The sequence below is a fragment of the Homo sapiens genome, chromosome 5 (assembly GCF_000001405.40).
Source record: "Homo sapiens chromosome 5, GRCh38.p14 Primary Assembly".
Lineage (NCBI taxonomy): Eukaryota > Metazoa > Chordata > Mammalia > Primates > Hominidae > Homo > Homo sapiens.
In genome coordinates, this window is record NC_000005.10 from 140,110,747 (window position 1) to 140,134,678 (window position 23,932).

Sequence of the window (23,932 nt, forward strand, 5' to 3'; positions counted from 1 at the left end):
TGTACACTATAGCCCAAAGAAAGCTGCCTTTCACCTCCTTAGTCTGAGAAAAAGCCCACACTTAAAGGCTTATTCTGAAATTAACTCTCGTTTCAGTAGTGAAAATATGCTAAAAATCCTATTTATCATTGAATTATTTTGGAAAGGCATTGTTAATCTTGTTTGCTTTTTAGATACACATATAAAGTAGAGAAGCTGGCAAATAAGGGCAAAAGTTTTATACATATATAATGAATAGCATAAAACAAGTACATATTTATGTGGAGAGATCTAGGTCCCAGTAATTTGCTGATTTGACCTTAAAATTCCCAGTTTAAGTGTACAAATGAGATTCAACTTGTGTTCTGTCTGGAAACTTCATCAGTTGCCTCTGCGCTGGGTAACTAAGAAGTCAGTTCTTGGTGGCAGTCACTTTTTCAGAAAAACAGGGCACTTCCAAACTCAAATCATTCGGAATCCCTGTATATAGACGTCTAGGACGGAGGGCAAGAAAATTTAGACTGCAAGTCGGGATAGGAAGGCGGGAAGTTGGGATACGAAGGCGGGAAGTTGGGATAGGAAGGCGGGGCAGTTTCGAGTCTTAGTCTTCTGTCCTGGGGGCAGCAATCAGCACGGAAGAAAGGCAGGGACTGGCAGGGGGGGTGGGTGGGGCCCTCATCGTATTCTCATTGGCCTTGTTGCTGCCTTGAGTTTTCATTAGGGAGCAGGGGCTTGGTTTGACGCAAGGTAAACTCTTGAGGAAGAGCAGCAGCCCTTCTAGATCGGATTGTACCAGATCTTAGCCTCAGTTTACAAGTGAAACATAATGTCCCACTCCATTCTCTGTGGAGAGCCTGCTACTGAGCCTTTTTGTCCCTGGAGGCGCTGGGGTCTATCCAGAGTCCTGATTGCTACTGTTCGAGCCTGGAGGAGTTACTGCTTCTTCACACGTGTATTTCTGTGCAGTTCAAAGTGCTTCAAAAGTTCCTGTGTCCCCTTCTCAATAGACTTTGGGACAGGGGAAGGAGTGCAGAAAAAATCAACACGGAAAGAGTACTACAGGGTACTAGAGGTTGCCTCCCAAATAAGGGGAAGTTCTTTATGGGGCCCAAAGTCTGGGTTTTTATCTCTTGGTGTGGAGCCTTCCCTTCAGAGAGCCATTTCAGGGACCACTGGACATAGGTGGGTGGTTCTGAGACGGGTGCACAGGACAGCGCCTGTTTGCTCCTTGGTGGCCAGGTGCTTCTTGTTTCTTTTCAGTAGGAAGTCGCAAACTTCAGCCCAGGGCTGAAGTAGCTAATGCTGAGTAGAATGGGGCTCTTTCTAAGAGAAAAAGGAAGCTGTGAATACCTAGCAGGCAAGTTTGTTCAGGAGGTGAAGAGATATGGTAAGGGGGGCTTTGAGGGTTCAGGAATCAGCAAGGCTTATTCCCTAGCCTGCTCTTGGTTTCTTGATCGTTAGTCCACTCTTTTCTAGGAAGCTGGGCAATCATATTCCCAGTTGTCCCTCGGGCTAAGAGTGAGGGAGGCAAGTCTCCTTACTTTTGGGGGAAGCGGGAGATGCTCAATGGGAATAGAACCCACAAATGGAATAGGTATACTTTTCTCAGGATAGAGGCAACGATCTGTGCTTGAGAAAGCCAGGGGCAGAGCTGTGTGATCTGTGTCTCTCAGCTGCCTGTAGAAGGTGATGGGGGAGAGAGTGGGCGCATTGGCAGGGGGGGGTCCCCTGGAGATAGGCCTTAGCTTTCCCCAGAGTGCCAGGGCTGCAGACTGCAGTGAGAGAGTACAAGCACTCAATACCTATCTGGAAATAAGCCCTAGGTTATACGTCAGGTCTAGTAAAAGAGAAATCAGGTATCTCTGAGCTCCTCTACTCCTGAGCCCCTAATACCAGAGAAGATCCTTTTTAGCTATCACCGTCCAAAGACTCACTGGTTAATTAATGGTCAGCAACTTAGCTGTCTGCATAAAAACCAGCGACCACTTAATATGTTACTTTTGGGAGTGGGATCTCTCCTTGACACAAGTTTCTGGGAAGAGTAAAAGGGGCAAGCGAACCTGCTTTAATGAATCCCGTAAGGAACTGCGTTTCCCAGGAAATTCCTGACATTTTTAGCTCATGAATTTCCGAAAGCCTGCTTGGTTTTCTCCTCCATTCTGGGTCCTTCCAGAAAGGAAGAAGAGTGGGCTAGGGTCTGAATGCTCACAGGGCCTGGTTCATCCGCAGAGCTGGCCAGCAACTCAGGCTGGGCTCAGCCCTGAGCAGGGTGCCCCCCTTCCCCAAATCTCAGAAGGAGGAGGGGGAGGCGGGCGGGCAGGCAGTCAGTCGTGGTCCCAAGGGGGACTGGCTGCAGGTTTTTGGGTGAGTGTGGAGTTTCTTTTTGATTGTTGCATGTGGGGAAGGGCAGAGTCGACGGGAACAGTCACTGCGGGCACCCTAGCCCTGGTGCGTCTACTGTCCTCTGCTCGGCTCCCCCCATCGGTGAGTGCGCCCGCCCGCCCGACTGTGCGGGGCTGCGGTTGGGGGGAGGGGGGAGCGGGATCATCTGAGGCCAGAGCCACTGCCGTGTGTGCGGGGAGGGGGAGCGGCGGGAGAGAGAGGGGAGGGACAGGCTAGGTGTCTGCTGCTCCACGCCACTGCTGCCGGCGCCCCGACCTCATCCCCAGCAGCCCCCTCTGCAGCTAAGGGTTACCACCGCACCACCTCTCTTCTTTGCCTGCCTCAGCGGCCAAGGCTCTGCGGTAGGAGACAACCCAGCCGGGTGGCGGGTGGGCCTGTCTAGGTTTGGGTTTGGGTCTTGCTGAGGCCCGCATGAGAGGGGGTGGCCGTGACTCGGTGTCCCCTCTTTGCAGGGGGCTCTGCTGCGCCGCGCAGGCCCCTCCTCCTACATCCTCTTTGGGGGGTCACTGGAAAGCAGAGCTTAGGCCCACTCTCTGTGCTTAGTATGGCAGACTCCTTCTCACCCCTAGTCCCCTAACTCCCCAGGCCGAGGCCGCCTAGGGTCTGCCCAACAGCGACAGCCACGGTGGTGGTGGTGGTGGTGGTGGTGGTAGCAGTGGTGGCGGCAGCAGCGGCAGCAGCAGCTGCGACGCTGCGCGTCCTGCTCCCTCTCCCCCACCCAGCCAGGGTTGTAGGGTGAGGGCCGGTGGGTGGGCGCCGCCTGGCGGGCGGGCGGACGGGGGGCTGGCAGCGGGGAGGGGGCGCAGGTCACGTGCCGGCGGGCGGGTGGGCGCGTACAGTAGGGCGCCCTGCTACTGTACTGGGGAGTCAGTGCCCTGTTACCGGGTCTCGTCTGTCTCGTCTCTCCCGCAGATCTCGCGAGAGTGGCTGACTGGCTGTGGGGGTTGCGGCGGCAGCAGGCGGAGCCGGGGAGGGAAAGCAGCGGCGGCTGAGGCGACTGAGGCGGCGGGCGGAGCGGCAGGCGGCGGCGGCGCGGCAGCGGAGCGCAGCATCATGGCGGACCGAGACAGCGGCAGCGAGCAGGGTGGTGCGGCGCTGGGTTCGGGCGGCTCCCTGGGGCACCCCGGCTCGGGCTCAGGCTCCGGCGGGGGCGGTGGTGGCGGCGGGGGCGGCGGCGGCAGTGGCGGCGGCGGCGGCGGGGCCCCAGGGGGGCTGCAGCACGAGACGCAGGAGCTGGCCTCCAAGCGGGTGGACATCCAGAACAAGCGCTTCTACCTGGACGTGAAGCAGAACGCCAAGGGCCGCTTCCTGAAGATCGCCGAGGTGGGCGCGGGCGGCAACAAGAGCCGCCTTACTCTCTCCATGTCAGTGGCCGTGGAGTTCCGCGACTACCTGGGCGACTTCATCGAGCACTACGCGCAGCTGGGCCCCAGCCAGCCGCCGGACCTGGCCCAGGCGCAGGACGAGCCGCGCCGGGCGCTCAAAAGCGAGTTCCTGGTGCGCGAGAACCGCAAGTACTACATGGATCTCAAGGAGAACCAGCGCGGCCGCTTCCTGCGCATCCGCCAGACGGTCAACCGGGGGCCTGGCCTGGGCTCCACGCAGGGCCAGACCATTGCGCTGCCCGCGCAGGGGCTCATCGAGTTCCGTGACGCTCTGGCCAAGCTCATCGACGACTACGGAGTGGAGGAGGAGCCGGCCGAGCTGCCCGAGGGCACCTCCTTGACTGTGGACAACAAGCGCTTCTTCTTCGATGTGGGCTCCAACAAGTACGGCGTGTTTATGCGAGTGAGCGAGGTGAAGCCCACCTATCGCAACTCCATCACCGTGCCCTACAAGGTGTGGGCCAAGTTCGGACACACCTTCTGCAAGTACTCGGAGGAGATGAAGAAGATTCAAGAGAAGCAGAGGGAGAAGCGGGCTGCCTGTGAGCAGCTTCACCAGCAGCAACAGCAGCAGCAGGAGGAGACCGCCGCTGCCACCCTGCTACTGCAGGGTGAGGAAGAAGGGGAAGAAGATTGATCAAACTGAATGAAACCCCCACACACACACACATGCATACACACACACACACAGCCACACACACAGAAAATATACTGTAAAGAAAGAGAGAAAATAAAAAGTTAAAAAGTTAAAAAAAAAAAAAAACCTGTTAACTCCAAGGGAGCACCACCCACAGAACCTCCACCAACTGACAGTTTCTCTTCTTGACTTGCCACCCATCGCTGGATGTTGTCCACTTTATCCACCATATAAAACAGTAAGCAGCTGCTAAAAACAAAAAAAATACAAAAAGTAATAACATTATATGAACTGTGTTTCCTACTTGATTAAAAAATATAAAGAACTGAGTGTTTATTTCCCTAATTAACCAAGAACTTTTGTACACGTTTAAGCTATTATTATTAAAAAGTGTTTGCAAAATGGTCAAGATTATAATATTGCTGAATTATATAAAAGTCCTTTTCATGTTGAGCTAACATTTGACTTTAGCACAAAAAAGAGATATTTTAGAACACGTAAAATAATATTTTTAGTTTTTCTCATTTTGTTACCAAATTTCAAACCTTACATGGAGGTTATTATAGTATATTTGACACCCTATATACCTGTGATTAGAGATGTGTATATATATGAGGGCTAGGCATGCTGTGTGTCTGAGCTTTGTCTAAATGTTATGCAGAAGTTTGTAGAGTTAAAGGTACGTAGGTTTAATTCATGCAAGGTAAACAATAAGTGCTCTCTTTTATACAATATGCATTGCATCTGGACCTTAAACTTATAAAAATGGTCAGTGAAACTTCTGTGAACATGAAGAAATTATTAAAAAAGGCATTTAAATGAAATTTGCTAAGTTGTGATTTTTATGGTTGGAACCAAAGTTATTCAAATAGTAAAAGGAAAAAGAAAGAAAAAGGAGATCTCCCATAATATTTTTCTGCATCTGTTTGCTTTGACTGAGTAGGCGTTTTGTCATTATTGTGTATATGAGATGTACTTGTATCGTTCATAATATATTTTTTTTATTATGTGTAGAAAGATTTTAAAAAACTAACGTGCAGCAATTTCCAGTGAACCTGTACTTGGACATCAGGTAGTGAGTCTATTTGTGGTCACTAGCACTGTCTCCTAAACTTGTAAGAGGTCTGAAGCTATTCTTTGATTTTTGCTAGTGCTATTAACTTATGTAGACCTGTTAAAAAGCAGAGCAACACAATTATAGTTATCCTACTGAGCCATGGATTCTGAGTTTTGTTTTAAAAGTGAAAGCCAAGTTGGTGTATGTAAAGGATTTCCATGTAGCTGTGGTGCTAGTTATTACTGGCTACATTATATGCTAAGTGTATTTGTGTTCCCCAAGTGTACAAGCCTTCTATCAAAAGTATGTTCTATAACTCATATATTCAAGGTGTAGGGTATGAAAATGCAAAGTTTAGGAGAGCACTTTACCAAGCTGGTGTCCTCCAAACTGAAATTGTTTGTAACGATAGTCTTTTACAGGTTTTCCTTTAAAGATGTTTGTGTGCTTTTAATTGACAACTAACTTCTTGCTGCTGTATAGTAAAATATTAATATATTTTTATCATTAAACTGCTGCATGACTATCATCTTTGAGTGAAGAGAAAATGTTATAAAAAAGATGCCTTAAACAGTACATTTTGGTTTGGAATTCTGTAGAAAGTATTTTGGTAAAAAAAAAAAAAAAAAAAAAGGGTCTTGTCTGACAGAGAGTTCTGGGGATGGAATTGTTTCTTGGCAAATCCAGCCATATAGATCTAACTGCTGTATGTATAAGACACCACCTGTAGGAGCGGGAAGGTATCAGTGCTTCTTATATTGTAAAGCATTGGCCTAGGAAGGCAAACAGTTGTCTTTTTGAAGGATTTTTTTCTGCTGGTCCTTTGGGTTTTGATTTGATATTTTTATGCTCCCTGGTTGAGTGTGTTGTCTTCGTTTTTGAGATCTACTGTATGTGTTGAATAACAAGCTATTTTCATTGTACTGTGCATTTTCCCATTAAATTGTTTGCTTTTAATATTCAATGTTAAATATGAGGTGACCGTACAGTAGTTAGGAGTTTCTTTACTTACAAAATCACTGGAAATGATTAAATTGCTTTTCCCCCTCCCCAGAGGTGCATTTTTCTTATTTCCATATAGTAAAGTTGAGCTTTTACAGTGCATAATGTGACATTTGGAATGCTTATCAACTGCATGTAAACATTAATAACCTGCACTTTTTTGTCTTAAGGTTTGTTGAGCTGTTTTGTTCACTGTACTTTAACTGTGATATGGAAAAGACTGCATTCTCTGTGCTGTTACTAATTAGGAAAGAGAATTGCTTTGATTTTGTCTCTTGTTTACTATAGCTTCTTAAAGTTAAGCCTTGTACTACAGGTTGTTGGAGTACTCCTAGATCACTGTTTCATAGTAGCCAGCAATAAGTAGTGCAAGTCAACAAAAACACAGCAAACTTAGGCAAAGTGTCCTTTCTTTGAGATGCGAGTTCTTTCATGAGGTTTTCTTTAGGGCCAGAGTTACCTAAAGTGAAGCCTTTCTTATCTATAGACTTCAGATTCTGCTTGGAATCCCACCGGCTCAAGAAGCACATGTATTGTGCAATTAATTGTCTTTACACTAAAACAGTTTAATACAATCTAACTACGATTTTGAAACCAGTGTCTGATTTATGGTCAGTGGGTTTAAAAAGAAATCCACATGCAGATCTTTTAAGACTTAAAAAGTGATCATAGAAAAGACTAAGTGACTGTAAAGATGCTCTTTTTTTAAGCATCTCACTTTACCTCCCCAAGCACCCTCCCAAACCTTGTCTTCCCTCTTCTGTTGCATCCTTTCCCTACCCTTCCCTCCCAGGTGCTCGGTACTTTACCTAGTTTCTATATATCAGTGTTTTATGTTGGAATTTTTCCTTGTTTTTATTTTACTAGTTGGTAAACCCTGTTTATGCTGAAACAAATAAGGAAATGGTATATTTGACCATATGTGTTATTCATAGAAGACAGTATGATCAAATGTGCCAAAAACAAGCAAACAAAACTTAATTCCTGAGAAGTATGCCTTATTTTTATTGATCTGCTTTGTCTTACAATTAAGGTCCAAGAGCTTGGTTAAACTGTATTATTTGCCTAAGTATAAAAGAAAACTTGAACTGCATTGCAATATTGACGTTCTTTAAAATGAGAGACACTGTCAAGTAATTTAATCCAGAGATCAGCCACCAGATTTGAAATGCTTATGTATGTGTGTGTGTTTGGAGTTGTTTTTTTCTTTTAAATCACCAAATTTTTTTTAAGCTACTTTTTATTTGTGCCTCCTATTTATCATGCTGATGTTAGAAGCAGCAGTCATCCAGCCACAGAGGGAGCTAAAGTTAACTAACCAGAACTGTAGAAATCATTATACATGCCTTTGACAACAAAGGAAGTTCATAAGAAAAGCCATGTCGGCTTTTCCTCTACTAGATACAGATTGGAGGTAGATGAATATTTGCCAAATGGAAAAAAAGACAATGCTAGTCAGAAAAGACAAACTGTTTTCCAGCTTCTCAAAAAGCCATGGAGAGTAGAAACCAAAACCAACAGGGAAATAAAAAACCTTGAAAGTCTCACTTTCTAGTTGTCCCATGCAGGGGTTGAAATTTGATTCCAAGCGGAAAGTATATTATGTTTTTTCAGGCCTTCACATCTAGAGAGATGGATAACTTCCAATTTGATTTTTCAGGTAATAGAGAAAGCTGCTAGTAATTTTAACCCCTGCCTAAAGAAGACATATACTTCATTTGGGAGCAAATACTTATTGCCTTGAAAAGTAGCACTGTAATAGCCTATGATAATTAGTTGTAGAATAACCTTTATCCCTTTCAAACTATGCAAATTATTAAATAAGTGTAAATTAGGATTCAATTAAAGATAGTTGATTATATTGCAATCAGATGGCATTCACAAACTTAACTGGAGCATATACAAATATATTAGTCTAAGTTTTGTATGCTAACAGAAAGATATAATTTAGCTACCTATTCTAAAAATGGTGAATATTATTAATATTGTATAATAGGAGTGGGAAGACTGCCTCCTTTTTTGAAGAGAGAGATTAAGGATTTTTATAATTGTTTTTCATCAAATTTTAATATTTTTGTCAAATTTTTAGGTATTTAATTTGTAAAACAGTTTGCTTTGTACTGGCATACAGAAAATAGGGTATTGATTTTAAACTTTTTGAAGCCAAGTGATCAAGTACATTTGTAATAAAAGTCAATGGATCTATATCAGTTGTACTCACTGTTTTCATTTCTTATTAATATAGGGATGCTGTACTTTTTCTTAAGGAAAACTGAATTAAATTTGGGTGGAAGGGAGGGGGAAAAGATAAATCCGTTGATAATGAGAATCTGGGTGGGTATCATGGCCCAAGCACTTTATATCATTTTTTAAGTCAGTTAAGATTTGATATATTTTAAAAGATACTATGTCAACTTTTTTCTTCCTATTTTCTTATGTAACTTGACGTTTGGGGGGATTATCTCATTCATTTTTGTTTGTGTGCTTTTAACATTTTGTGTTTTGGCCCTGTTCAAACTTTCTAAACACATTTTTCTTTTATGACATTTTGGGTTATCTGCTAGACCTGGTGACCCCACCATATGGGCATGATTATTTTTATCTTCCACACATGGTTCACCTTCTTGTCTACAATATTCCCACTCATTTTTTCAGGTTATATATACACACACATTTCCAGATAATTTTAGAATGGGGCTATCTGAAATTGATGGTCTAGTAGCTTTCATAGCTCCACAATTCATTTTATTTTACATGTGAACATAATTTTAAGATTTTCTTCACCATAAAAAGTGAGATACCAAGTCTAATGACTTTTTTCCCTTTTTAAAATCTTTTGAGTATCAGAATGAGACCTTGCTATCTATGTAAAAGGATGCTAAAACAAGGGCATCTGTAGCAACTTAGGTTTGGAATAGTTGGTGATGACTCTGAGTATAACATTTATAGTTTATTATCCCTAAATTTGAATATCTTCATAATTTGGAGAGAGATGTATACACACACATACACATATATATGTATATATACATTGTGTGTGTGTATATGTATATAGATACACACATCTCCTTGAGAGTGGAATAAGTAGGAGAGATAATTTATTGGAATTGCTTACATAGATAAATTCACCAAAGTTATTTGTGTAGATTTGTTAAAGTGTATCAATTTTTAAATCACAATATTTCTGTTTTCTTCATTGCATATTAACCAAATTTTGGCCATTCATAAGTATGCTATAAAACTAAAGTGATCACTGCTATTCACGAATTATTATAGAATCTTCTTTGCAGATTTTGTGATATATTAAGAAAAGCTGATTTTAATATTAATATTTAAGAAGTTATTTGATCCTGAAAACCTAAATTTAAGGTATAGGCCATTTGACACGTCCTTTTTGAACAGAAATTTCATTACAGGCTAAGTGAAAATAAGCCAGAATTAGCATGAGTCAGGTAGAATTTCATGATAAAAGAACAACCAGATGAAATAAGAAATAATGATTGGTTTCAAGCCAATGAATCTGCTAAGCTAACTACCAAGTTTTGATGTTGAATGGTCCAGGCAATTTATGTCTTTAGGAAAGCTGAGTGTGGCAAAGGTCACTTGTTAACATTTTTCTTAACAAGAATGTCATAACTACTCATTCATTTTTATTTTGTCCCCACGTTTGGTATTTGTTTTGTTTTGTGTTTTTCCTTCCTGATGTCCTTTGCTTTTGTGGAAGATTGTCCTGTTGATAGGCAGAAACATGGTGGTGATCCTCTATGTAAAATATAGTTGCTTCTTACACATCAGAAGTATTTCACTCATTTTGGAATCACAGGATTTTCATGTTTTCATAAATACACACATTGTTTTGATAATTATTAGCAATTAGCTTATTTTGTAGCATTAGATGGAAAAATGTTTAAGCTAAAGAGTTTAATTTTCTTGATTTTGGTTCCACTTTAATAATTCAAGAGGCCTCCAAGTTCAAGGACCAAGTCCTTCTATTTTAGAATTGTGAAAAACATGGAAATACTCTTGTTAGTGTGTGTTTTGGTCTAAGGTAGATTATTAACACAGAAGGATCCTAGGAGGATTTAAGAAAATATGTCCTTATCGTGAAGTGGCAGTTAAAGTTATGGGACAGGTGAATTACCTATTCATCTTGACTAGCTCAAACAATGATAGCCATCAGCTAATGACTTATCAGACACATGTTGAGTTTGGGTCAAACTCCCATTCAGCTGGAGTGGATTGGCAATTTTAAATGCAGGTAGTTGGTGGTGGTACTTGACCTACCTCCTTACCATGTACATCTGGCATCTTCTCTCTCCTATCCTTTTTCTTTGTTTCTCTCTCCACTTTTACTCTTGCTGTAGGCCTACCAGTGGCACTCAAGCTTACTTCTTCAGAGAGAAGTAAAGAAATTTCTGACTCCTGCCTTAGAACATAGCTAACTGATGATCCAGAACAATTTCAGTATTATGAGGTAACTGGGCAGTTTTTTTCTGATTGCTATTTTCCCCATAGTCTTAAGCTGGCAGTTTGAAGGTATCTAAATTAATGTTAAGAAACTTGTGAACTGAAGAGAGTAAGAAGTATGTGTATTTTAGGTAAGTTACTGGGAACTGAGACTTACTGGTTTGGAAATTGGAGAGTAGGACGAGGAGAGCTGTTTAATGTGTTTGTGGATGGGGGTTTGAGAGGTATATAGAGAATGGTTTGGAAATAAAGTGAGAGGAATTTTTACTAGAGGTAGGAAAAGGTACTATGATGGAGTCCGAATGAGAGTTATTTGCTAAGGAAATGAAGTTGATCTTCACTAAGGAAGTTTCAATAAAGCCAGAGAAAATGGGTCCCTCATTGATTATGAGAAAGCTGTTAGTTACTATAGCTAGAGTTATGATAATGATCATGCATTATACAAGTCTGTTTTCATGTATAGGATGTCTGCTTTTCTGGGACAAATTAGCACAATTGTGGAATGACAGCTTTTCTGGTCAAGGCAAGTGGATGCTGGGGAGTTATTATTTTGAGGAAAAGAAAATTTCAAGCTTTTCACCATTATTCTTTTTAAACTATCAGAAATATTTATCACACATACTATCTATTTTCTTGGGCTCTTGTTACAATGTAGTTTACCTTTACTTTTCAAATGGTCCTTAGATCAAATTATTTGATTTTGTACTCCACAAAGACACATATTATTCCTTGCTTTTATAGAATTTTGAGACTTTGGCCCACACAAATTTCTTAGAAGACAATAAACCAGGTAAAAACACTAACTTGCAATTTTAGGTGTCTTTTTTATTTCTTTTACATTTGCATCCGTAGCAACCATTTAACCTTGTAGACCTTATGAGGCCCTCAATAATACTGTATTTCTAAAATTAGACAACATACCCCCCAAACTCATGTTTCTGTTTCCCTACTTTCTCTCTTACTTTAAAATTGTAGTATTCCCAAGAGTTCAGTGGTGGCAAATGTTAATAAAATAAGTTAGTACATTTTGGAGGTTCTTATATCCTTTGTAGGGTAAGCTGATAGTGTTTAGATTTCTGTTCCCATTATTCCAGTAGTGTTTTAAATTATTTAAGATAAATAATTACTGTAATGTTTGTTTTTAAGTTACATAATTCAAGTATGTTTGGATTAACTCTTTGTTGTCAAATTTAGTATGGATTTATTCCTGGTGATTTGGACAGATTACTTTGAAGTTTCATTTTACTCACATCTCTATATATTAGTGATAAAAATCTCTTTTAAAAATAGCAAAAAAGTGGTTCTGATTTTGTACTTTGAAGGTAATTTTTCTTTTTTACGAATGTCAGGTTCATTAACAATAGCAGGATTATTTTTACTATAGCTTATTTTGTAGAGTTGGCACTTTAGTATAATTTTCACATTTTATTGTGTCAGATTTTAAATTATAATAGTTATATACTATAACTCATTTAAGTCAATGCAAAGCCTTCTTAAATAGCCCCTCCCTTAGAAATTTGTTTAAAAAGAAGTGAATTCCCAAACCTGTGTCAAGAACTTGTGATTTAAATGACTGTGAGACAAGTCCTTGAAAGGCTTAAGTCTAGTCAGTGGAGATAAATGATAGCCCATTTCCATGCTGCATATAGTTGTTAGGGTTTATAAAGTTGTCAATGTGTAAAAGTGCAAAAGCAGGAAAGACTAAAGTTGCCTGTAAAATTTCTAGTTTTCATTATTTGCACTATTTATCTTTGCACTTGATTTTTTGAAAGTTAAGGCTAGTCACTTTCACTTTTGTTTCTAGTCTTTTCTAATTTCTTGCAGAATTGTGTTTTCAATATTCCACCCAAAGCAAAAATTATATGCAATTAAAAATATTTTATAAGGCCAAGAAAATATTTCTTAATGTTAGCTGTATAAAACAAAAATTTGTTCTGATAAAATTTTTAATATGGGCCTTTATTTGCCAATAAAATCCTTTGTAAATGTGAGCTTTATTAAACTGTTTAAATAGACAAAGTTAAAGCTTAGGATAGGGAATATATATGTATGTGTATATGAAATGATGTCTTCGAGTTTTAACTTCCAGCCTGAGATGGCCTAGATTTGGTGTGTTAGTTTGTTTCACTGAAGTCAGTGAGATAGGAGTCTAGCTGGGTACATGCTTAAAAAGCTGGAAGTGAAGTGGGTGGCAAGTGGCAGCTCCCTCTTTCATGTAGTTTTCCATAATGTTCATATAGTTTCCTTATGGTCTAAGTGTTACAACTGGTTTTCAAGTTGTTATATTGAATATTCCTTTTTGGAATTCAGGGTTGAATCACTTTGAGGGGGAAGGGAAGCAAGGGCAAGAGACTTTATTTTAACCAGATGCGGTCTTATGACCTCAAAGATGTGCTCTAGAAAGAAAATAACAAAAAGTGTACCTGTGAACATATTTTTTGTCTTGGTGATATTATGCAACACAGTGTTCAGAATTGCAAAAAAATTTAAAAATTGATAGTTTTATCAATGGAACAGAGAGATGTGTTTTTGGCTAAAATTATTTTTTGTAAGTTATTTGGTTATTTCATTTTATATTCCCTTTCCCATAGCTTTGTACACACCTCATACTTAAAACCAAGTGAGAGGCCTCTTTTCAGATCTGGTTTATTTTTGGAATGCCTGAGTGTGTTTCCAGATTGGGGGGGGAGAGGTGGTGTTTTACTTTTTGACATGCTCTTAGCATGTTTTGCTAGTCATTCTGGATCTTATGTTTGCAAATTCTGTTGAACATTCAGTGATGTATTTGAAATGAGAAAGTCCTTTATAACATAGTGTGAATGTTTGTGGCCAATTCAATTGTGGAATCTTATGGCTTTGTTTTTACTTTGGGTAGAAGTTTAACTTCCATTGTTCAGATTTTAGGTTTATCTAGTGAAATTGTGCCAGGTAGTTGTCTAAATATGGACCAATTTTGGGAAATGAAGATTAATAAGTGTATATTTGATTCTAGATAATCCTTTACTCAAAATCATAAGTTAAAGATTCACATCATTAAGAGTTATCTAACTTTTATGTTGTCAAATCTTTAAATGTGGATGATATTCAGCATTCTATCTATGAATTTCCTTTAGGAAAAGAGAAAAATTCAGTCTCCAAACCTTTTCTTGGAGACAAAATTTACCACATATCGAAAATGAAAAAAATTTAGAAAGCGATTTGATTATTTTTTAATGGAGTTTAACCAGCTTAATTAATGATTTTTCCAGTTTGAAGCACTTATTTTCCCAATGTGAATAAAGGGAAAAGATCAGCAATTTGTCCCTGGCCTTTTTCGAGGCCATTTTTAGTTTTCTGCCCCCATTTCCCAGTCCTGGTATAAAATGAATTACGGGTATCCCTCTAAGTCCCTATAACCCTTTTTGGGGGTCACAGATATCTTTGATAATCTGATGACAGTGTGATGGATCCTCTACCCAAGAAAAAAAAAATGCCCATCCCTGGATAATTTTGCATACAACTTCAGGGGCATCACACATCTTCTGAAACCCAAGTTAAAGATCTCTGCTCTAAGTAAATTGTAGAGAATTTTAGTGCAAATCGTTGATAAAATTAGGAACCAACTATTGGCTTAAAACCTTTCATATTGGAATTATTGTTAGATGGTGGCCCCTACTAGCAAAATGTGACATTGCAACCAGCTTCGTTAGACATTATAACAACCAGAGAGAAGGGAAAAAAGCAAAGTTCTGAAAGCTATTTATAAGGAGTCAGGGCATCTCTAGACATGGGAGCCTTCCTGGTTCAAGGCAGGGGTCAGGGTGCCTGACAATTTCTAGCAGGGTAGAGTTTGATAAACCACAATGCTCAGGATGCCAAGGGGTTAGCCATTATCTTAACCCCTTCCTCACCAAAAGATTTTAGTTTTGTCTGTTGGGAAACAAGATGTCACTAGGGAAAAAAAGATTTGCCTTACAACTTTGCTGGAACACATCAGTTTGGTGACGTTGGGACACTAGTGTTATTTTTGAGAAGGCGCATAAAACCAAAGTAAATTATTCTCTATGTAGAACATTTATTTACTAGTAACATTTGTTTGCGTGTATTCGCTTTGACAATTTTTACCAGTAAATATTGGTTTTATTTAAAACTGGGAATCCAGTTGATATATAGGATAGTTGATACATCTGTTCTTTCCCCCATGTAAAGCATAGTTAAAAGATTTATGCATACTTTTTACTTTTCTCTCTTAATGCCATGGGGTGGGGAGGGTGGGTGGGGGAAAGATTTTTGAGTCTACAACTGACAAAATGTCTTCTTCAAATTAAAAAAAATTGAGAAGCAGCACTTTAAGTCTAACTCTACACCATTTTATTGCATGTATTAGTTTTATTAATGATTTTTGGTGCATGCCTTTGGGCTTATTCAAAAGTGTACAATAGGAAAGTATATTTCCTTTCTTAGAAAGGAGATGTTTTCTACTTTGCAACATGTGATTACAAAAATCTTCCTCTGTGGGAAGATTAACCATGTATTGAACTACTGAAAAGTATATATTTTTAGATATACAGAAGGAATCTACATGGAGCAGCATTCAGACCTATATAGAAGTCATAGCATTCTGTATAGGACCAAAAAGGAAATAACATTAAACACTTAAACAGACGTTGTTGGGTAGAAATACCTTTAGATCTTGCATTTACTTCCAAAAAGAAAAAATGCCACAGAAGTTTGCTGAAAACTTTTGTCGTTTGAATTTTCTCTGTCAGTGTATTTAGCCCAAATACAACAGCTTTGGGTTAGCACACACATAAGAATCAAAAAAACAAAGCTCACTAAATAAATCAGTCTGGTTTGCCAATCCAGCTTGACTGAAATAAGTAAACCAATCACTTGCAACATGAAAAACTGTCCAACTCCTCTAAGGTTCTGACAAAATAACCTTGGCTGATGTGGGAAGACTCCCACTTTGATTACTGACCTGACAGTGAAGATTCATGCTTGACATGATTTCAGACTTGACAATGTCTGTTTAAGGAGCTATGGTACAGTTTGCTAATTCAATCCCAGATACCTGTTGATTACCTGTGAGATCTAGAGTCCAAAGTAGCCAGCAGCCATATCCCTGAGTGCTCTGTGCCCATCAGATATCTTAAAGTAAGCAGGGTTGGGACAGGTCACAGCTTGGATGATTGACCTCAGGTGCCGTAGACAGCCCCAGATTCAAGAATTGTATCTGCTTTCTTGGCAGTCGTCACTGAACTAATGTCCCATACTGTGTTACTTACTGTAGATGCTCTCTTTTAGAGGAGGCCCAGAGCACACATCCTAATCGCTAGCGGTACTCAGAGAGGGGGTGCTAACTCTGATGCCCTGGCCAAATTCCAGTTTAGGGATGTGGGTCTTCTTCTTGTCATTCTAATTGGAAATGTGCATCACTTCCCATTTTTCTTACTGATCTCAGTGCAAACTACACTAGTCTGTTTCTTTGCCCTGGTCTCAAGTCTCTAAGACGCTGGTGTGTATTATGTGGGCTAAGTTCATGTGTTATCCTAAGGCACAAGAGTTGAGGAATGGGTGAGCTTGGTGTCAGAGCACTGTGTGGTTGGAGGGTGGACTCTTGTGATGCTGTGGGGATGAAATTGGCCCTCTTTTAGCATAAGTTGGGGAGTGTGCACTGGCTGGAGGCTTCCAGAGGCTTCCAGCCATGAGGTGTGAGCTGAAACCAATTTTTCCTCTTTCCTTATAGCATGTTGAGAAAATCTGTTGGGTTTTCAGCAGTCAGGGAAGGCCGGAGTTCTGCTTTAATCTGGGTAACTGAGGCTAATATGAGCAAGACTTTGGTTAATTAACTGGGTTCTCAGATGCCACAGACTCCGTGAGAAGTCACCATTATTTTCAATGGTTGTGATAGAATTTCCCCCAGTAGCCATTATTTTAAGATTATATTGCAGAGTTGCTTTATTTTGAGCTTTTTGTGTATACACAATCCCAAACTGGAAGAAATTTTAAAAAAAGGAATCCTGCTGTGAAAGGTATATATTACTCTAGATTTTTCTTACTGTAAATATTGTAAGATTGTAATACTGTCGATATTTTATTAACCAACAAATGTTAATCTATGTGAAATCAGACTTATTTTAAATGTGCTTCTTATTTACTGTGTGTGGTCCCTGTTGCTGACAGTATTAAGTTATATTCTGATGTAAGATTAACTTTATTAAAGAATGTAAACATTAATGTTTCCTTATGGGAAAACAAATAAAGTATAAAGAAGACAATTCTTTTCATTGAAATATACTGTGTATTTACACTTGCTAGACCCAGCACCACTTATAAATTTAGTACACTGTTCAGAATTTTAGTTAACACAGCTGACATGGTTGTGCTCTGTTTGAAAGTCTAAGAATAGGTATTGTTGGAATATACAGTTTGTATTTGTCTGCTGTGAATCATAATCTTGAAATTTCTAATCAAGTTTGTAAAATTTTTATAGTGAAACATTTTAATGACAATTTAAAAATTTATCTTCTCTAAAGAATGGTCAAAACAATATCCTTTCAGAAATAGAATTGTTCTTTAATATCTTTCCAAAATGACTTTGGTTAAATGGACCAGATGTATATTAGTTAAAATTTAGGACTAAGTTGTTGATATTCTTTGAGTTTACAAGTTAATCCTTATTGGAGATGTGCCAATATACAGTTAGAATATCATTAATTTGCACTGTTTGGGGACCCCATTTAAGAATGCTGAATTTTGCCAACTAAGAAGTAAGCAAATGCAATTTAAAAAGTAAATTTGAGCATTCTGTATTAAATATGTGCAGTTATTATCACATGAAGAAACGCAGTGTGTCGGGCTGTAATATTACCATATTTGCTGTCATGTTCTCCCATCTCAGTGCTGGGAAATCACCATGTGGAAACCAAGCAAACGTGTTGTGCATCAGCCGGCTTGAGTTTGTTCAATATCAAAGCTGAAAACTAGCGAGGTCTGCTGTACTGCTTATTGAAGTATTGTGATTATTTTAGGCATTGATTCTTACAAAATATATACTGTAACAGTATACTTTGTACAGATTTAAATTTTATTTGAAAAAATGAAATAAAGTAGGCAAAAAAATAAAGATGTTTATTTTTCATGTGACTGTATAATCAGATCAGTCTTTTGTTTCAGTGCTTTTTGGGGGAAGGGGTCTGGTTGCGATCTTGGATTTTTTTTTTTTTTGATAGGTGGAAACTTTTTAGGACTCAGTAGCAGGTATACTTATGCTTATGAATTGGCTGCAAGCATTAAGTGTGCTCTCATACTAGAGAACTCTATCTTCTATTTTATTTTAAGGTAGGTTTGCTTATTTTTAAAAATGTTATGTGAATGGCCTCCCTATCCTGGCATACTGGGTCATTTAAAAAATTCTCTGGTGGTATGACAGTGAACCTAGCCATCATGTTGAAGAGAAGGGAAACCTTTTCCCAAAGATCATGCTCCATTCTCATGGAAGGTTTTTTGTTTTCTGTCAGTTACAATAAAAAAAATGTAATTATCATGGATACATACTAGTTATACATACTTATGGGGTACATGTAACATTTTGAAACAAGCGTACAATGTACTGATTAAATCAGGATGATTGGGGTATCCATCACCTGAAGTATGTATAATTTCTTCGTTTTAGGAACATTCTAATTCCACTCTTAGTTATTTGAAATATATAATAAATTATTTTTAATAGTTGCCCTATTGTGCTGTTGAACACTTAGAAAATAGAGGTTGCGGTTTAAAATCTCTTTCAAAACTGTTTTTCTAGTGAGTGGAATGGCAGACAGTGAATGAAGCTACCAATAAAAACAAGACACAGGAGCCATCCCTCAGGATAGTTTCAATGGGGCCTTCTAGAAAAGTAGATTATCTGACCAACAAGAACCACCCATTTTGACCTCTAACTTAAAAACCAACAAAGGCCTCAGAAGCCTCAGGTATATATTTTCCTCAACCTTTTTAAGTAGAGTTTGAAGTTTTATTTGTAGCTTTCTCCTTTTATTTTATCTTTTTTTTATGTTTTCACTTACCTTCAGGCTGGATATGAGGAATGCCTGGAGCAAGTAGTTCTCCAAGATACCTGGCAAAAATCACACTATGAAAAATCTCTCAATTTACTTAAGTATATACGACAGCAGTTATATTCTAAAACTTGATGCATGTCCATAGGCCATCTCAAGTTCACATTACTGCAGTTCCAGGCTTCTCTGGGGGAATCCCAAGAGAGTTCATTATGAGTATTGTTTTGTTGTTTTCTTGCTAAAAAGGCCCTCCTTGGCTGGGCATGGTGGCTGAGACCTGTAATACCAGCACTTTGGGAGGCCTAGGTGGGCGGATCACTGGAGGTCAGGAGTTGACCAGCTTGGCCAACATGGTGAAACCCCGTCTCTACTAAAAAATACAAAAATTAGCTGGACGGTAGTGCACACCTCTAGTCCCAGCTACTTGGGAGGGTGAGGCATGAGAATTGCTTGAACCTGGGAGTTAGACATTGCAGTGAGCCGAGATTGCACCACTGCACTCCAGCCTGGGTGACAGAGCGAAACTCTGTCTCAAAAAAGAAAAAATAAGTAAATAAAATAAAAAGGCGCTACTTTGGAGTGAACAGAAGGATGAACTAGCTTCCACATATGACAACCACCAACTTCAATAAAAATAATGGAGAAACTTTGCTTTCTGAAAACTGAAAGCTGAGAGTGCCACTGTTGTAGAGAGGTAGGTGGGATGCCTAAGAAACTTCAGTTTCCCTAAGTTCTAGGGTGCCTCTGATTTGGGGGGTACACACAGAAGACAGGTGGCTACTTCCTGAAGAAGAGACCAGATTCTGCTCTCTTCTCTGCAGAGATCAGATAAATCCTTGGGTCCCTGTCCGAGAGAAGGACTCAAGCACAGGAGGTTGTGGTGGAAATTCCAGCCATGATTTACTCCCAGCAAGTATAAGGGAGTGAAAAGTCAGGAGTCAGGCCCTTCATCTTTTAAAGACTCCGAAAGGACCATGATTAAATATGCCCAATGGTCAGTTGGACAGCAAGAGGCCCCGAGGTGAGGTCCTACTGAAGGGCTACAGGAGGAGCATCCCAGACAGCCAGGTCGGAACTACACGGCAATGCTGGTAGGGCCATGGGGAGCCCCTCAAGAAAGGAACCCAGCATGCTCAAACAGAACTATTTGTCATTTTTCTTCAGTCTTTCTTTTCTAAGATGTAATTGGTGGTCTCTTCCTACATCCACCTCCAATGGATGTTAACTTTCATTTAACCATGTGGTATATCATTTATTTTGGTATTTTGCATGGCTTTTAGAAATCCTTTGTTCCTAGTCTCAGTAACAATTTATTTCTAAGCAGTCAGGACTGTTTTATCTTGGGTACTGAGTTTTGGAAGAGGTCCTGCTCTTTCAGGACGAGAGGAAAGAGAGTTCTCTTTTCAGTGTTTGCCTCCTAGGTCACCTCAGGGCCGGCACACACCTCCACTGTTCTCACTTCAGCAACCCCACCCCACCCCCGCCCTGCCTTCTAGAACTTCAGGAGGAGGAGCCACAGTTTTTCCCCTGAAACTGGGGATTCTACCTAAATATTGCAAATCTTCAGAGTGTTTCCAATGACATTGATACAATTTTCCTACCAATATTGATTTTCATTCACTTCGATTTCCTCACATCAGGCTATTTGGCACTTAGGTTGGCAGTGAGAAAATGTCACAAAACAGACTCACTGAATGTTGCAAGGCTTAAAAGAATAGGATATCATTACCTTACAGCCAGCAGGGGTGTCTAGTTAACCCCACCATCGTAGGCATCCTGGCTCTCCCTGCATGCTCATCTCACACCTCAGACCTCTGTCAGCCTTCTGTGGAGACTAGCAGTAGCTGTAACATAGCTCCACTTTCTGTTTCTGGCAGTGTCACTTAGAGTGGGTCTGTACTGCCACTATCCCAAATTTCTTCATGCTCACCACACTTTATTTTTTAAACATTGAGTGCTTAAATATTCAAGGCACCAAACTAAGCATTTTACCTGTGTTATTTTACTTCATTCTTACTATAACTCTATGAAATAGGCACTATTATTACCCTCAATTTATAGATGAGGATACTAAGGCACAGAACGATTAAATGACATGCATAGAACTCCACAGTCAGGATTCAGGTCCAGGTAGGATGATGGCAAAGCACATCCACAGTCTCAATCACTCTAATATGTTGCCTTCTCTATGAAGTTGCCTCCTCATCCCTTAATTTGTAGGGTCTCCCTGACTTTGACTTTGCCCCACCTAAGGATATATGTAGCTGAGTGTCAAAGCTAACGTTACGTGGAGCAAAGGAGGATTCTTCTGCATAGCTCAAAAGCCACACTTCCTGTTTCAGAGGTTGATTCATGAATGAATCCACATTTTCATTTCCCCCTCCCCTTTCATGGGGAATGACTTACTCAGAGCAGGTCTGAAGGAAGCTGGCAGATGGCCCTACCAGGCCTCTCTCCACTGCTCTTGCTTAAAGTAAGCACAGCCCTGAGTACTATTCCTGCCTCTTCCCGCCCTTACCACAATGACCTGATCAAAGGGTTCTGTGAATGAGGCTCTTGAATTCTGTCTAGTTGAGTTGATTTCCTTCCTATGCCCAGCTTCTATCCCTTAGCAGACACCCTTTCTTCCTTAGAGCAGGCCTCCTAACTGAGCCCATGTGGCTTCAGACACAAGTTCAACAAGTATCAGGAGATAGTCTCTAGGAGAGGATCTGGGTCTGCCCAGATTCTCAAAACCTCACTGTTCACCAACAATTGGTGCAGCAATTGGATCAGCCAGAGAAAGCCATGTAGTTTTCAGCTCAGTTTTGCTTGGGCTTTTAAGTTTCTGGAGGCATTTTCCTGCACCCTATAAAATGCTATTTCCCAGATGTTTCCTGACCTCAAGGAGAGGTCCAGAGTCTGTAATTCTCCAGGGGCTTCTTCCAAAAATAAAATCTCAAGTTCCTTGGGACTTAGGGGTAGTTTCAAGGGCTATGGCATCTGTTGGAACTCCTGTCTGAAAAGGAAAGATCATAATTTGAACTTGAACTCTTCGTGGTTTTTGGTATCCTCTAAAGCAGTGGTTCTCAAAGTGTAGCCCCTGGGCCAAGCATCCCCTTACATTCTTGGGTCCCACTCCAAACCTACTGAATTAGAACCTCTAGGGCTGGGCCTCAGCATCCATATTGTAACAAGCCCTCCACGTGATTCTGAAGCACACTAAAGTGTGAGCACCACTGCTCTCTAAAGCAAAGGTTCTTTATCTCTTTTGGAGTTTTAGGCTTGAGAATCTGATGAAAGCTTGAGGCTCTCTCAACTGCATCACAGATTCCCCAAAGGTCCAAGTTAAGAATCCTTGCTCTGGAACTTAGAGCTTGTCTATCCGTCTCTGGCTTCCACCTGCTCTAGCACCACTACAAGGAGGGGTGGCCACATACTCCCTGTTTCTCCTTTCATCTGTGCACTGTTGGATGTCACTGATGGTGTGCATTCCCTGCACCAGACAGCACAGGGATAAGGGCTTGCTACTCCCTCTATGTGCTGCAACTGTAGCCCATGTACTCTAAACAAAAACGAAATGCTCAGGCATGGGGTGCCAGGTTAGGAGTCCAGGACCAAATAGAAAAGTGATTTCTCCTGGACCTAGGAGCTGTGTGTTGGAGCACAACTGCTAAAACTGCTGAACTTCCTGTGACAGTCCTGGCTGGGTTATGTTCATGATAGCCAGAGCTTTGTCATCGGCAAGCTTTGGTCTCCAAGAGAACTCCCAAGACAAGTCCTAGATTTTTATTTTCTAGATAAAAGCATCTCAACTTGTACCTTCTTAAGCTGTTTTCACCCGAGTAGTCAGTTATTTGGCTCTGAGGGCAGTGCTCTACTTTTTCTCCACAGTCATTCTTGGGCCATAACTTGAAGTGGTACTCAGAGCAACTTCATTGGGAAAAGTTCCCTACTCTAAATTCAGGGACTCATAAGAAGGAGGTTGACTCTGAAAAGAGTGCCTAAAGCTGCAGAGCTTGGCTGCCCTCTGGCTGGTAGAATGCTTCCTTATTCTGAGAGGTGACCCAGGGAAGAAAGGCCTATGTCTTCACTCTCACTTTATACATCTGAAACAAAAGCTTAATCCCCTTACAAAACCCATCCTCTCCCCATCTTAGTCCTTCCCGTTGCAGTAAAGGGCACCACCATATACACATCGCTCAAACAAAAAACAAAGAGCTGGTTCCACATTCTAGTTTCTTTCACCCCTCATATTCAGACTATATCCTGTGTCTGGCCACACCTCATCACCTATACCACTGGCACTAGCTCAAGTGATTCTCAAACTTTAGCCTGCATCACCTAAAGGGATCGTTAAAACATATACCACTGGGCTCATCCCAAGTTGCTGATTCAAAGGTCTGGGGCAGGAGCCTGAGAATTTGCATTTCTAACAAGTTCTCAGGTGATGCTGATGCTATTGATCTAGGAACAACACCTTGAAAACTACTGCCCTAATCTATCATATCCAGAGTGTCCCTATGTCCCACTTTGCCAGAGACCATCTGGTTATGCCTGTTGTCCCTGCTTAATTATTTGTAGCACCCCTGTTTACCTGCACAACTATCTTGGTCTGGATGACAAATGATGTGGGCACCAATTTTCTCACCTAACAGCCTCCTCACTGGTCCCCCTATTGCCATGATTGCCCTATGTAATCCATTCACACAGTAGCTAGAGTGATCTTCTAAAAAGTACTAATTGGATGATGTCACTCCCTGCTTCCCATTACACTTAGAATAGAAGTCTGACTCTACTATGGTTACAAGGCCTCTATGATCTGGCCCTACTTAACTCTCCAGCTTTCTCTCCTTCCTCTCACCCACTTGTTCATTTCTCTCAAGCAATAGTGGTTGCCTTTCTGTTTTTTAAATGCACAGAGCCCACCGCCACCTAAGGGCCTTTGGCGTTGCTTTTCTTTCTTCCTTGAATGCACTTC

At 40.6% G+C, this 23,932-nt stretch overlaps 2 protein-coding genes across 2 annotated transcripts, besides 5 other annotated features; both read left to right on the top strand.

The window, feature by feature from the left end:
* Nucleotides 2,541-2,620: a silencer, noted in NCBI's record as "silent region_16443". NCBI's record gives its function as "represses an Ori minimal core promoter by ATAC-STARR-seq in GM12878 lymphoblastoid cells {active_cell/tissue: GM12878}" and the evidence as "EXISTENCE:reporter gene assay evidence [ECO:0000049][PMID:35858748]".
* Nucleotides 2,991-3,230: a silencer, noted in NCBI's record as "silent region_16444". NCBI's record gives its function as "represses an Ori minimal core promoter by ATAC-STARR-seq in GM12878 lymphoblastoid cells {active_cell/tissue: GM12878}" and the evidence as "EXISTENCE:reporter gene assay evidence [ECO:0000049][PMID:35858748]".
* On the top strand, nucleotides 3,363-14,873 carry PURA (purine rich element binding protein A). The gene has a single exon (NM_005859.5). The coding sequence runs from the start codon at nucleotides 3,436-3,438 to the stop codon at nucleotides 4,402-4,404; it is 969 nt and encodes a 322-aa protein (NP_005850.1). The 5' UTR covers nucleotides 3,363-3,435; the 3' UTR covers nucleotides 4,405-14,873.
* Nucleotides 3,811-3,880: an enhancer, noted in NCBI's record as "active region_23260". NCBI's record gives its function as "activates an Ori minimal core promoter by ATAC-STARR-seq in GM12878 lymphoblastoid cells {active_cell/tissue: GM12878}" and the evidence as "EXISTENCE:reporter gene assay evidence [ECO:0000049][PMID:35858748]".
* Nucleotides 3,893-4,530: an enhancer, noted in NCBI's record as "H3K27ac-H3K4me1 hESC enhancer chr5:139494224-139494861 (GRCh37/hg19 assembly coordinates)". NCBI's record gives its function as "activates a minimal SCP1, AML or CMV promoter by ChIP-STARR-seq in primed H9 embryonic stem cells {active_cell/tissue: H9 hESC(primed)}" and the evidence as "EXISTENCE:reporter gene assay evidence [ECO:0000049][PMID:30033119]".
* Nucleotides 3,911-4,410: an enhancer, noted in NCBI's record as "active region_23261". NCBI's record gives its function as "activates an Ori minimal core promoter by ATAC-STARR-seq in GM12878 lymphoblastoid cells {active_cell/tissue: GM12878}" and the evidence as "EXISTENCE:reporter gene assay evidence [ECO:0000049][PMID:35858748]".
* A 317-nt stretch (nucleotides 14,874-15,190) lies between the features above and the next one.
* On the top strand, nucleotides 15,191-18,646 carry IGIP (IgA inducing protein). Its single transcript, NM_001007189.2, has one exon. The coding sequence runs from the start codon at nucleotides 17,731-17,733 to the stop codon at nucleotides 17,890-17,892; it is 162 nt and encodes a 53-aa protein (NP_001007190.1). The 5' UTR covers nucleotides 15,191-17,730; the 3' UTR covers nucleotides 17,893-18,646.
* Nucleotides 18,647-23,932: the final 5,286 nt, after the last annotated feature.

Bases quoted from the DNA above. Each gene is read 5' to 3' on its own strand.
- PURA (NM_005859.5), top strand. From the start codon at position 3,436: ATGGCGGACCGAGACAGCGGCAGCGAGCAGGGTGGTGCGGCGCTGGGT.
- IGIP (NM_001007189.2), top strand. From the start codon at position 17,731: ATGTGCAGTTATTATCACATGAAGAAACGCAGTGTGTCGGGCTGTAAT.